Here is a 14,608-nt window from a genome sequence, read left to right as displayed (position 1 = left end):
CTAATACAATATGGCCTCTTCCTAGCATATCAAGGTTCACACGTTTGCTCCTTGTTCTTTTTCTGCTAATAGTTTATTGGCCGCATTCAGGATGCGCTCCTGGTTTTGTTCTGGGCTGTAGCTCCGCACAGGCACAGGCTGGCACTGTTTGAAGGCAGCAGGCAGGAGACCCCAGCAGCCCTCCTGTGAGAAGTCCCCTTAATGTGAGGTCTTTTTGCTATGTCACCCCACGGCCAGGGCAGGAGTGCTGGGTGGGGGAGACAGACTCACTGTCTTTCTAGTTGGTCTCCTTGCTGCCTTTCAGCCCATAGAGAGGCACTGCTGGGCTCTCCTGTATCCACAGAATGCCCGGTGGGTAAGAGTCCGTCCCTCTCTCCCGCTTCGGAACACCTTTCTTAGAAGCACAGACATACACATTAACTTCCAGTAAACCCTAGCCAGTTCTTTACTCCACGAGGAAGATGAAGGCTCAAAACTGAGGCTGTTTAGGGAACGGCACTGGGCCTTACGATCCCAGGGTCCTCCAGAGGAATGAGGCCTCCCAGCCTAGGACTCTGATTTGTCATCTATGGAGCTCCCAGGCTTCGAGGTGGAGGGGGTGGGGCGGGGTATATCATTTAAATGTGCCGACCCTTCCCATGTTCCTCCCCTACAAAAGACCTCACAGTCTAATCCCATTCTTTGTAAAATGAGGTCTGTGGTGTCTGCAAAGGCGCGACATACTTCTTCCCTGCCTGGTGACTGCAGGTTCCCCAGAGTGGACTAGGCCTGGGGCTTGCCCTCTACTGGGATTTGGAGGCAGGGGTGGCGTGCAGAGCCGTGTTCCCTTAACCACTCTCTCCTGAGACCAAGAACGTCTGGATAGATGATGAGTTATCTTTCCCAGCCAGTCTGCCCTGAACCTGGCCTGCATGACAGTTTCTGTTTCCATCTCTGCACAGCATTGATTTTATTTCTTGGGAACTAGTAAGCCCATTAAACTAAGACAGCCCTTCTCCTCTTTCCTCCATGGGCTGAAACTTCCTCCCCTGACAAATATAGAGGGGGTCATGTTCACCTTGCTCCTCTCTTGAGCCCTCAGTTTCTCCACTGGGATTGGAAGGAATGCGAACCACATCTGTGTCATCTGCTTTAGAGCAACGTAAGAGAAGCTTTTAGTAGGGGAGGGAAAAGCGAAAATAACTAATTCGTTCTGGATGTTTAAAGAGTTAGCTCCTCTAGTCCTGGGCATTTAAACAGACTTGACAGATAAACTTCCTTTAAAATAAACTCATTTTTAAGATGACACAGTGAATACTTCTGTGGGATTCCTGGAATAGTCATTTCTTCTTGGAAATTTGCCCTCATTCCTGGAGTGCCCACTGACTGCGTTTTCCTGGCCCTTCCCATTAGGTGTGTGTGTGGAGCAGGAGATGTGTGTGTGTAGGTGGGTGTGTGTGTGTGCTCTATTTAAGCCTAAAATTTTTCTTGTTGCCACCCTGCCAAGCCCCTACATTTGAGGGGTTTCCTTCTAGTCTGTTCTCGTCTGTTCCTAACTTGTCTGTTAGCCACCTCCCCTGAGTTTTGCTAAATTGCTATTTGTCAGTTAAACTGCTTTCCTTCTCTTATCACCAGAATCTCTTCAAGGTTAGAGGGCAGACATCTCAAGAAAAATTCCATTAATTTCTGGATAAAATGTCAAAATGGTACTGAGAAATAATGGCCAGCTGACATTAGCATCCAAGCCCAAGGGAATGTAGTCAAAATGATAATACTGTCGTGGGGAAAGCAATCCGCTGCCGCAGTGAGCGCATTTTACTGTGGGGATAAATATGCAGTGCTTCCGCATTCTCTCTCACCCTCAGTTAAAATGCTACTCTGAACATTAGCAGTGATTCCATTCATTTTTTGCCTTCAGGATTGATAAAGCCTAACAGTCCACCCCCTCCTGCCCCACACCCCATCCACCCACATGCATGCCCCATCACTGGTGGAGATGTGGGGCCCTACCCAGGAAACTGTGGGAGACTTGTCCTTGTTTCGTCGCATCACCTACTGAGGGGGATCCTCTCCTTCCACACTTTCCTTTGCCCCAACCCAAAGCTGGGGTGCTCTCACATGGTGCCAGCCACTCCTCTGACAGTGACCTACAATCCAGGACTGACCTAAGCTAGATTTCAACAAATGTGCATGTTGGGTAAAGAGATGCAATGCTTAGAAGTGGTGCTTTGGCCAGGCATGGTGGCTTATGCCTGTAATCCCAGCACTTTGGGAGGCCAAGGTGGGTGGATCACCTGAGGTCAGGAGTTCAAGACCAACCTGGCTAACGTGGTGAAATCCCATCTCTACCAAAATACAAAAACTAGCTGGGGATGATGGCAAGTGCCGGTAATCCCAGCTACTTAGGAGGCTGAGGTGGGAAAATCGCTTGAACCTAGGAGGCGGAGGTTGCAGAGAGCAGAGATTGCGCCTTTGCACTCCAGCCTGGGTGACAGAGCGAGACTCCATCTCAAAAAAAAAAAAAAAAGAAGTGGGGCTCTGCTAGGCACCATCACAACTTGTGGAATCTTCCCACCTGTCTCCTGAGGACTCACTGGGATGGGACCTTCACTGTAGCTTCAAGGTGATTGGGCCAAGGCTGTGGCTGTATGGGAGAATGTTCTGGATGATAATGGATCATCAGTGTGAAATTAGTATTTATATTATTTATAATTTAAAAGTAGATTCTGGAAGAAATGGGTTGTATCCAAAGGAGTATGTTTCTAATGAGGAGAGATTGTCTAACCTGGAGCAAAGGGAAGGAAACCAGAAGCAAGGAAGCAGGTCACAAAGCCGAGATGCTGCAAGATTTCTGCACCTACCGTAGGTCAGGCCTGAGGAAATAGAGGGAATAAACTCTGCTACCTCCAGGCAGACCCTAAGAACTGCCTAGACACAGCGTGATTATACAGATGACTTTCTTTTTGGATATTATAAAGATGATTTTCTTTTTAAAGCTTCCCCATTCATGAACCATTTCTAATTTGAATAACGTACACTAAGCATTCATTCACTCATTCATTTACTTAACAGTCATTAACCTGTCAGCTTTGCTGCTTACTGATTGTTATTCAATCTCACTTTCCCTCAAATTTCTTCCTGGTGAACTAAGTGTAATAAAACTACCTACATCCTAAGGTTGTTGTGAAGACTGAAGTGTGTGAGTCACGGATAGCAGTGATGAGTCCACAGTAAGCACCCTATCTAATGTTTGCATTTACTGGTCTGAGTTCCATGTGCTATCAACTGAAGAATCATAAGGTTCATGCATTTGGAAAGGAGGGTTTTATTTCTTATAAAGGGTTGCAGCCTGCAGGCTAGCCATCTTGCAGGCTGGGAAGCGTAGCCTCTGCCCAAAGCGGAGAACAAGTACTTGGAGGAGGGGCAAAGGGAACAGAAATTTATCCTGAGCAGAGTGGCTGAATATTCACATTCAGTAGGATATGGGAGGAGTCATGAATATTTATGAAAGGGGAAACAGGTGCATGCACAGATGAGCTTAATGCGCTCATAAAACTGTAGGGCCAACTTACAAGTAACACAAACAACCAAAAATGGGTGCCCCAATCTTTTCTATCACAAGACTCTGCTACCCTGTATCTTCATGCATTTATGCATGTGTTTTCTTGTTTTATTATTTCATTTATTTATTTATTTTTGAGATGGAGTCTGGCTGCATTGCCAAGGCTGGAGTGCAGTGGCACCATCTCGGCTCACTGCAACCTCTGCCTCCTGGGTTCAAGAGATTCTCCTGCCTCAGCCTCCTGAGTAGTGTTATATAACAGTGTTATGATGCGTTTATATACATGGTGGACATGAATTCTGGATCACGTGCTCAAAAAATGGCAGCCTTAGCATGTTCCGAGGGTTGAGTTTTTGGCCCTCTGATGTCAAAAGGTGAAGCAGAGGACATGAAAACCCTCACTACGTATCCTCGGGAAGTCAGCCAAAACCAGTCGAGATGGTGATCAGTTTTTAGGAAGGGATGTGTTGTGAGACTGGTGAGCTGTCACATCCAAACTGCAAAGAGGGAGGAAAATTTGGTTGCAGTTTCAGATGGTTAGCTAAAGGCGATAAAGGAATAGATTATCCATTTCTTGTTTTTTAGAGCTGGTTTCTGCTTACACTGAGGAAAGAATTCTGGTTAAAGATTAATAAGGAAGAGTCATACTATGGCGTGTTTGACCTCTCATCCCATAATGGCTGGGAACTCAGTTTTTAAGGTTTCTCTGGGATCGCTTTGGCCAAGAGAGGCTGCATTCAGTCAACTGGGGGAGCTTAGGATTTTATTTTTATTTCTCAATGCCAAACTAGGCTGTGGCACAGAGTAAACAACGGAGAGCAAAGAACAGACACTGTTTCTGCCCTTAGCTAGTGTACCTTCTAGTTGTGTGCAGGCAATGAACAAGTAAGTCCAGAAAACATCATGGATAGGCTGGGCGCGGTGGCTCATGCCTGTAATCCTAGTACTTTGGCAGGCCGAGGTGGGCAGATCACTTGAGGTCAGGAGTTCGAGACCAGCCTGGCCAACATGATGAAATCCCCTCTCTACTAAAAATACAAAATTTAGCCAGGTGTAATGGTGCACGCCTGTAATCCCAGCTACTCGGGAGGCTGAGGCAGGAGAATCTCTTGAACCTGGGAGGCAGAGGTTGCAGTGAGCCGAGATGGTGCCACTGCACTGCAGCCTTGGCAATAGAGCCAGACTCCATCTCAAAAATAAATAAATAAATAAAATAATAAAACAAGAAAACACATGCATAAATGCACGAAGATACAGGGTAGCAGAGTCTTGTGATAGAAAAGATTGGGGCACCCATTTTTGGTTGTTTGTGGTACTTGTAAGTTGGCACTACAGTGTTATGATGCTATTTATAAGCATGGTGGACATGACTTCCAACCTGAAACCCACCCTCCCTGGGGAGTCTTGCCCTGCTTCCCTGGGCCAAGATAGTCAATCTCTTCTTTGCACCTCTGCAGCATGTATACACCTCTCTACTTAATGTTTTCACACAGCATTGTGACTCCTGGACACCAAGATGGAGCAGGGTGCTGCTCCCCTAGTGGGCTTGACCTGCCTGAGACTATCTCTGCATCCTCAACCCCTAAGGCCTAGCCAGTATTATGGAATGAATCACCTAAAATATGTTCCACCCTGCATCTCTCTAGGGCAAAGCATCCAGTGGAATCCCACCTGGTGTTTACTGTGGGCAGAGGTGAATCTGTGGTTTTTGCTTTGCTATTAAACCAGAGGCAGCCATAGAAGTTCCAAGTGTTGTAAAACCCAAGTGCTTCCTCCATCCCTACCCACTCCCATTCAAGCGATTGGACTTTAAAGGAGAATTTCCAAGTAACTTGAACTCTTCAACATACTGAGAATTACTATAACTGATACTGTTTCCTATCCAGGTGTTCCACCAGGTGTGGTCAATATTGTGTTTGGAACCGGGCCCAGGGTGGGTGAGGCCCTGGTGTCCCACCCAGAGGTGCCCCTGATCTCCTTCACCGGGAGCCAGCCCACCGCTGAGCGGATCACCCAGCTGAGCGCTCCCCACTGCAAAAAGCTCTCCCTGGAGCTGGGGGGCAAGAATCCTGCCATCATCTTTGAGGACGCCAACCTGGATGAGTGCATTCCGGCAACCGTCAGGTCCAGCTTTGCCAACCAGGTATGTCCCCGGGGGTTCTTCTCCCTCCCCTCCATGGCCCTGTCAAGCTGGATCTGTTTTATCACAGTGCAATGCCTGGGAGCAAGCCAGTCAATCCAGTGCCATTTCCGAGAAAGCAGGATCAGTACATTGTGTGATTCCCTTAACTCTCTGCTCAATTTTAACATTAATTAGTGGCCTTGCAGAGTCACAGCTTCTGTTCAGCAAACTCCTCTTCTTGAGTTGCACAGCTTTTATCAGGTACCAGCCATGGGTGGAATGATTGATGTTGCTGCTCCAAGCATCTCCATTTCTTTATTCACACAGCTGCCCTGTCTTGTCTTTTATTCTTTTCTTAAACCCTGTCTTTGCTTGTCGTTCAAATGTCCTATTCCCAGTAAACCTTACTCTCATTTCAAAAGTATTCAAAATGCGTTCATCCACTGAGTTCCAAATACCTGAAACTGACTAGAGAAGATTTCTTGGCGTGGATTCATGGATCAGCTTCAGGGCATCGTTGTAGCTCCTGAAATTACATAACAGATGTTTCTCTGTGCTCTGTAGTTTTTGTCAGATTCTTTAAGGCTATGGCATTCCAAAGAGTTAAGAACACTACACCAGATCAACTAAACAGTAGGCTGCAAGAAGATGGAAACGCTGCCTGCTTTTGTGTGGTATTTTCAATGTCAATGCTTAGAATACTGCCCAGGATATAGCAGGTGTACATAAACCCTGGATGATTTTCTTCAAAGGATATTTTTATTTTAACAGAGAGTAAAAACATAGGCCAAAGACTTAGAACTTCATAGAAGGAAACAGCAGTGAAATGAGAGATGTCTATATTGAGCTAACTCAGGTAACATTGAATAGTGCATAAACTTTTGAAACTGCATTGCTTCACTAATAAAATCATGTGAACAATAATGATGTCTTCTAACAGGGTTTTCATGAGTATAGAGTGAAAAATGTTACTTTCAATTATTATCTTCATGATAATCATAAGTGTAATTATTTCTCTCACTGTAACTCTTGAAGTGGCTAGAAATATAATTTCTGGATCAATAGACAATATACTTTTACAATACAACTAATTTAATCATTAAGCAAGTTTCAGGTGAACATTTAAACCAAGTGTTTTCATGGCTTACAGACAACAACAGAGGGACAAATTTTGTGGACTGAGAAACTAAGATGAGAGAAAGGTAAACTCTGTATTAAACAAATTCTGAGGGTCCAGGCATGGTGGCTCACACCTGTAATCCCAGCACTTTGGGAGGCCGAGGTGGGTGGATCACCTGAGGTTAGGAGCGCTCGAGACCAGCCTGGCCAACATGGCAAAACTCCATCTCTACTAAAAATACAAAAATTAGCTGGGCATAGTGGTGGGCGCCTGTAATCTCAGCTACTCGGGAGGCTGAGGCAGGATAATCTCTTAAATCCGGGAGGTGGAGGTTGCAGTGTGCCGAGTTAGCACCAATGCACTCCAGCCTGGGAGATAAGAGCAAGAATCCATCTCAAAAACAAACAAACAAACAAACAAAACAAATTCTGAACATGGAGATAAGAAGTGTAATCTTCTCTCCTACCAGAATTGTGCTACGATTTGAGTTTGCCCAGAGAACCTTCCTTTTGGGGTTGTTTTAAAAAGGAAATAGGGAAAGAGACATACGCCTAACTAATTGGCTAATCCAAGGTCACAAATGGATTTTAGGCAAAATAAATAAAGCAGCTTGATTTAGCTGAGCGATGAATTCCGTGTCGTGCATATTTCTTCCTTAATTGAATGTAATTGGCTTTTTTGAAGCATCTCTGTGTGACCCTGGACATGTACTAATTCAAAACTTTTTCTCCTACCTGTAAACTGGAAAAGCTAACAGGCTACAGAATTATTTATAATGAGGAAAGCACCCTGCGCAGTGTCTGGCTTGACGATAGGCACTCAACGAATGATACTGTCCTTTTCTTAATCTCTCCAAAGTCTTTCTTGTGGGCATCTTGGTATGCTTACCTACGCTTTCTAGGCACAGAGCAACAGGGAACTGGGTAAACCCCTCTAGCCTCTTCGTCATGCTCTCCTTCCCTGATGTCACAGGGCGCTTGCGCAAATGAAACTATCAAGTGTTTAGACATTTCCCAAGCTAGATATGGAGATGATCCTAACAGCGATCCTGGTTGCAAAAAGAATGTGTTATTTCAAAACATTAACAGTTTAATCTGGACAATGTACCTTTGTACAAATACCAAGACAATCAGGAACCTTCTATTTTCTAAGATTGTTGTGAAGTCAGACACAAACATGGTGAAAATATTTATGCATTTCTGTACTTTTCATGCATAAATAATGCTTTGAAAGTCTAGAATGTGGTTACATGCCAACTCTAAGTCTAAACTGTTACATGCTATGTTCAAATGATAGGGTTATTTTTCACTGAGAAATCTGTTATAACCCCTCCCCTGTACACTCAGTATCTCTATTTGATGTCTGTGAGGCATCTGAAACCCAGCGTGTCCAAATCAGAGCTCTCGTTTCCCTCCCTCTCCCTTCCTTGCAATACCAATCCTCTTTCCACCTCGTGTCTGCCCTTCCAGGGAACAACACCACCATCCACTCTGCGGCCTACTCTTGTTCTTGCCCTCTCTTTCCATCGACAGGTCCTGTTGGTTCTGTCTTTAAGGTATATCCTGAATCTCATCACTTCTCCAGTGCATCTGTGCCAACTTCATCACACTTCGGAGGTCCCGTGCCCCTGGAAGAATCTGTTGAACTCAGTGGGTCCTTTTCACTCCTCTGCATCTCCATGGATGCCTCCCTGGTCCCAGCTACCTACACGCATCTGGACTTCTGGAATATTCTCTTAACTCCTCTGCTCTCTTCCCACACTTGTTTCCTTCCATCCTATTTTCCCATGGCTGCCAGAATGGGCATTTTAAAATGTAAATCTGATCATATCGTTCTGATGCTTAAAACCTTCCCTTATTTTTTCATGATACTGAGAATAAAACGTAATCTCTTTATGAACCTATGAGACTGCACGATAGAGCCTTGCTGGCCTCCTGACCTCCTCTCTTACCACACACCTCCTGTCCTTGCCTCCTCTTCCAGCCTCAGCCCCACCCACCTTCTTGCTTTTCCTCATGCACACCAGTTCATTCCTGCTGCAGGTCCTCTGTACTTTGAAGAATTAATTCCCCACCTCCAGATCTTTTCCCGTCTCATGCCTTCACATCAGTCAAGATTCCATGCAAATATCCCCTCTTTGCAAGTGCCCTCCAAGACTCCCTTTCATAAAATAGCTCCCCTCCCCATGCAATCAGTTGCCATTCCCATCCTCTGCTTAATTTTATTTTATGGCTTTGATCACAACCTGAAGTTATATTATTTATCGAGTTTATTTACTTGTGTTCTTATTTGTCTTTCCCACAAGACTATGTGTTCCACATGGTGGGAACTTTGTCTTATTTACCATTGTACCCCATTGCCTAGACCAGTGCCTGATACATGGCAGGTACTCAAAAGTGCAGGGTGCTCTATCCATGAAGGAGAGTGTCCGCAGCCTTATCCCTGTTCTCATTCTTGGCAGGGTGAAATCTGTCTCTGTACCAGCAGGATCTTTGTCCAGAAGAGCATCTATAGTGAATTTTTAAAGAGATTTGTAGAAGCTACCAGAAAGTGGAAAGTCGGCATTCCCTCTGATCCACTGGTGAGCATAGGTGCTCTGATAAGTAAAGCACATTTGGAGAAAGTAAGTAAATTTCTGCCATGTAAGTTACAGAATAAGTTCTTATTTGAAGAGAAGCTCAGTACAGGCATAGCACAATCAGACTCTGAAATATTGTTAGTTACTACCCCATTTTTGAAAAATTATAACCTGGGAGAAATTGTGGACACAGAGTCTAAACATTGTGGATATGAATATGCAAATGCAGTCCCGGTGAAAGTGCATCCACATGAAATTAATGAACTTGAGAAGTCAGCATGGAGATACCACCAGTAGAGAGGGGAAGCCAAATTTCAAAACATAAAGATCAGCAAATAAGGGTGATATGGAAGAATGCCAGTGATTTCCACAGGCAAACATTCTCTTTGGAAAAGGCCTGCCTCTGGTTTATAGCCAGAAGTGCCAACACAAACAGTCCCAATTGTGTCGTCCTTAGTCAGTGGGGGACCAGGGGTAGCCCATCTGGAAGAAACCACTGATAGTCTCTGAATGATTGATGAAACTCAGGTCTTTAGGGTCATTTTTCAAAAAGAGAAGATCTGGCCCTTGATGGCAATTTAGGGTTATTTTAATTTATTACCACATGTGACTCCCAAAATAAGTCATACATTTTGGAGTCAGAAGGACTCTGCTTTCAGCTCAGTGCCACTGAGGGAAACTTGTCCCCATCAGCCAGCCAATGAGAGACAGAGCATTTACGTAAGTTTGTAGAAATCCGTGACACTGCACAGTGCACTCCCACTTTGTCTATATTTAACTTTGACTTTCAGGACACTGCAACACAGTTGCCTGCAGATGGAAAGATGAAGTAGCTTGAAGGCCTGTCCTTATTTCTTCTGTTTTCTCAGTGAAATAGGTGTCAGGGTGAGGAGGGGAAAAGGTGTTGAAGGTTTCAGGAGGGAGGAGAGGGTATGAAATAATCTCGCGGTAGGTCAGGAGAGAGAAAGGACTGGGAAATGACCAAGTTATTAGCAGAGCAGCTCAAAGGGCTCACTTGAGGCTTGTGGTCATTTATTTAAAGTGAGGATGACCAGCATGGCTTGTTTTTCTCCAGCTAAATTTACCTACAAGATTGCAGGTACATAGGCAGTGGTCTCCAGAATGTCCAGGGAGACCAACAGTTGTGGATGGTCCTTCATGGAGTGAAGATTTTCCAGATGCAAGAGACTCCCTTGTTCTCTCTCCTTCTGGCTCTTTTGGACACTAGGGCTCCCTGCCTGCCTGCCCACACCTGCAAATGTCTGGTGAAAAACAATGTTAGTATGCCCCAGACTGCTTCCTGGGAAACAGGAAGGAGTGGAACAAAAGTTAACCTCCTAGAGTACCTTTCAGCAGGCTCAGGCAGTACTTCAGTGTGAGGTTCCCTGTGCAATTCACTCACTCAGAATTTCAAAGTTCTTTCTGTATCAACTCAACAGATACACCATTTTTTTTCTATTTTAGTCGCTGCCATAATAACTATTTTAGTTACCCAGTGAGAGAATATATATTAGTGAAACAAATAAAAGTATTGACTTTTCTGTATCAGTTGAATGATCTCTCTCTGTGTGTGTGTGTGTGCATGCACGCGTGTGTGTGTAAGAGAGAGAAAGGGAGAGAGAAATTGATGCCACACTTTGACTCATATTGGTAGCTATGGCTTTTCTCTGTGATACTCTAAATATTTGTCTTCAATGTGTTGTAATTCCTGTGGACTTTCATACAATATTTTTGATGCCCAGTATGTTCCTGCTTGGCCACAGGAGGCTTCTTCTTCTTCTTCTTCTTCTTTCTTTTTTAACATGTACTAAACTGAAATGGGCCACTGTTGGAGAATTAAATATTTAATATTGTGATGACTTATACAAGACGCTAATGAGTTCTAGTAATTGGCATAGATTGCAGATTCTATGTGTTCATGAAATGCAACACTACATAGGCAACATGCCCTCACCTTTAAAACTACTCCAGGGGCCCTCTCTTTAACCTGCTCTCCTGTCCTTCTGAGCCCACTGGAGGCCCACCTATAGGCATCTCTGTCCTCTGACAACAGGTAGCCTCAGGTGGTCTCAATTGCTCTGCTGCACATGGACAAGAAGACCTCTCTCTACTGAGCCTTGGTTCCTTTCAGTGGAGAACGGTAATCAAGACAAGCATTTGAGCTTAAGGGTGCCCATTAGGAGATTTCCTATTATGTGACAAGTGGTCCAATGGCATCCAAGAAGAGGTCAAGAAGAGGTGGCTTAAAACTTTGTGGTGCTTCACACACACTGCCCTTTTTTTTTTTTTTGAGATAGAGTCTTACTCTGTCGCCCAGGCTGGAGTGCAATGGCGTGGTCTTGGCTCACTGCAACCTCCACCTCCTGGGTTCAAGCAGTTCTCCTGCCTCAGCCTCCCAACTAGCTGGGACTACAGGTGTGTGCCACCACACCCAGTTAATTTTTATATTTTTAGTAGAGACGGGGTTTCACCATGTTGGCCAGGGTGATCTTGATCTCTTGACCTCAGGTGATCCACCCACCTTGGCCTCCCAAAGTGCTGGGATTACAGGTGTGAGCCACCATGCCTGGCCACACTGCCTTTTTTAAGAAGGGTCCTGGCCAGGTGCGGTGGCTTATGCCTGTAATCTCAGCAGTTTGGAAGGCTGAGGTGGGCAGATCATTTGAGGTCAGGAGTTTAAGACCAGCCTGGCCAACATGGTGAAACCCTGTCTCTACTAAAAATACAAAAATTAGCTGAGCACTTGTGGCGCACGCCTGTAATCCCAGCTACTTGGGAGGCAGAGGCAGGAGAATTGCTTGAGCCTGGGAGGTGGAGGTTGCAGTTTCTGCCACTGCCCTCCAGTCTGGGTCACAGAATGAGACGCTGTCTCAAAAAAAAAAAAAAAAAAAAAAAAGAAGGGTCCTGAGTCTATGCTGGTATTTCTAATGTAGCTAAATTACCTTTTAAACCTTGCTCTAATATCATAATTATTTCATCACTGGTGATGATGTGTCATGCTGTGTATGGTCATACCCCATGTTACTCACAGTCCATGCCTAAGTCTTTAGAATAACCTAAGAAACTGGCTACGATCTGTTCCATTACCTCTTTGACCTTCCCTTTCCTCATTCCACTCCTGCATACTGGCCTCCCTGTTCTTCCTGGAAAATACCAGGCACCCTCCTCCTTCTTGGCCCTTGCTCTTGTTGCTCACGCTGCCTGGAATGCTCTTCCTTCAGATGCACGCATGGCTCTCTCCTTCCCCTTCTGAGAGTAGATGTCACCTGAATGAGGGCTTTCCTGCCTACCCTATATACAGTGGTACCTTTTAAAACTTTGACTTCTTTGGAGCTTTATTTTTCTCCACGGTTCTTACTGTCATCTGACATGCAATATATGTATCTTATCCCTTTACTGACTATCTTCCCTGGACTAGAATGTCAGCTTCTTGGTCAGTTTTATTCATTGCTGTATCTTTAGACTCTAGAAAGCTCCTGGAACATAGTAGGTGCATAGTATTTGTTGGGTGAATGACTGAATTAACACCACATGATGTGTTCCAGTTACAATATATCCTCCAAATTTAAGGTATCCATTTTCCTTGAATTCTTTTTGATCCTTAGCTTAAACTACCTGGAATGGGTCCAAAATGCACAGGTCCTGGCCGTCGCTGGCCAGCATCAAGACTCCGAAAGGAAAAACAAAATAAACACAAAAACTAAAACCCAGCCTTTCTCCAAGAAAACGCTTGAAACCATCCGAGCCTGGAGCCTCTAGTATCACCGATCATTAAATCATGACAACGATAAAGGGGCCATATAGACACATACATGCCTTTGAGGTTTGGCTTGAAATTCCTCTTTAACTCTTCATCATTGGTACAAGTATTGGTGATTCCAGCTTACGTCACAAGTAGTTTTGGTATCTAGTTTTCTGAAAACACTTGGTTAAATATGGATCGTTAATACCTCAATAGTATACAAATCTAACTTTTTAAATGCCAATTTAGGAATCTAAAAAATTACATCTAGATTATTATCAAAAATAATTTCAGATTTCTACAGCATTACTACAAATATACAAGTGAAAAAATTTCTGCAGGTTCATATTTCTCCACTGTTCTTGTGTTTCTCAAGAATCAACTTATTAAAAAGGTACCAAGATATTTCTATTATACTACATTTTAGTTAAAGACATCATTCACATTTGGAATGCCTTCCAAATTCTCAAACTTTAGTTTTGTGTTTTGGTGATTCCTAGTAGTTTTCATCACCCATAAAATAAACACAGAATTTAGTGAGTTTAGGTGTCAGAATATTTCAGCATAAAATATCCATATTTTTCCCTAGAGTAAAATATTTACCCTGAACATTGTTGTCTGTGAGTGACTCCACAGAGAAGACCTAGATTACCTTTTCTTTAGTAGGTTTGTGGTTAGAATCTTTCAATCTAAAATAACAACATAGAGAAGGACTCTCTAAAGAAAATAAAAGTGACTTTATTTGGGAATGAATGCCAGAAGATTATGAACTGGGATATGCGTGTTGTGATGGATTCTGGGCATAGCCAGAGAGGTAAAGGAAGACGAGGGTTTTTAAAGGTAAAATGAGGAAGGTGACAGAATGTTGTTTTGAAACAATTATTATTGGCTACAAGGATCAATAATAAGGGTGATTTATTATTAAATGGAGGCACCAGTCCAAGGTTGAGTGGACAGTTACTGTATAAACATCCTTGTAGAAATAGTTTTTGGGCAAGGTTGTGGTGGCCTTTGTGCAAGGTTGTGGTTTGTAGAGTCCCTTGTGATAGTTTTTGTTATCAGGCAAGTATGTATGAGGACTCTGTCCATGGCAGATGGTAGCAGAGGACTCAGTTTGCAAGTGCATGTCCCGGTAGCACCGGCATACAGGTGGGAGGGACACCCTTCTCTGAGTTTCTGAAGATGTGTCCCTCTCTGGCCGGCCCTCCTTCTGCCTCAGCCCAGCTCCCTATTTGGATTTTGTCAAGCAAGTTCTTATCTGAATCTGGACTAAGACATGCAGGGAGAGCTTGGTTTCCCTCGGGCTCCCCTTGTCCTGGCCAGGTCCAAGCTGTGCATGCAGGGAATCAGGGGACCTCGACTACTTTGCCAGGCTTGACCACAGTGACTCCCAGGAAGAAGATTCTCGTGTCAGGGCTCCTAATATTTTTACAACTAATTTTCGTCCCTTTCCCTTGCACCTTCCTAATAATAAATTTGCCTTAACATAGTGCTTATGTCACCCC

The 14,608-nt window shown here is 44.2% G+C and overlaps 1 protein-coding gene across 3 annotated transcripts in view, besides 1 other annotated feature; it reads left to right on the top strand.

The window, feature by feature from the left end:
• Nucleotides 1-14,608, top strand: part of ALDH8A1 (aldehyde dehydrogenase 8 family member A1) — a 32,709-nt gene that overhangs the window by 11,642 nt on the left and 6,459 nt on the right. For 2 of the 3 annotated variants that reach the window (NM_001193480.2, NM_022568.4), the window contains 2 exons: nucleotides 5,428-5,684; nucleotides 9,245-9,406. In NM_001193480.2, the coding sequence (NP_001180409.1) occupies nucleotides 5,428-5,684; nucleotides 9,245-9,406 (419 nt within the window). The remainder of the gene's footprint in view (nucleotides 1-5,427; nucleotides 5,685-9,244; nucleotides 9,407-14,608) is intronic. The other variant, NM_170771.3, reaches the window with a different exon arrangement.
• Nucleotides 3,883-4,083: a silencer, noted in NCBI's record as "peak6134 fragment used in MPRA reporter construct". NCBI's record gives its function as "represses an SCP1 promoter by STARR-seq MPRAs in K562 erythroleukemia cells {active_cell/tissue: K562}" and the evidence as "EXISTENCE:reporter gene assay evidence [ECO:0000049][PMID:32103011]".

This window comes from Homo sapiens, chromosome 6, assembly GCF_000001405.40.
Source record: "Homo sapiens chromosome 6, GRCh38.p14 Primary Assembly".
In the NCBI taxonomy this organism is placed as follows: Eukaryota; Metazoa; Chordata; class Mammalia; order Primates; family Hominidae; genus Homo; species Homo sapiens.
This window is presented reverse-complemented; position numbering and strand designations above follow the sequence as displayed.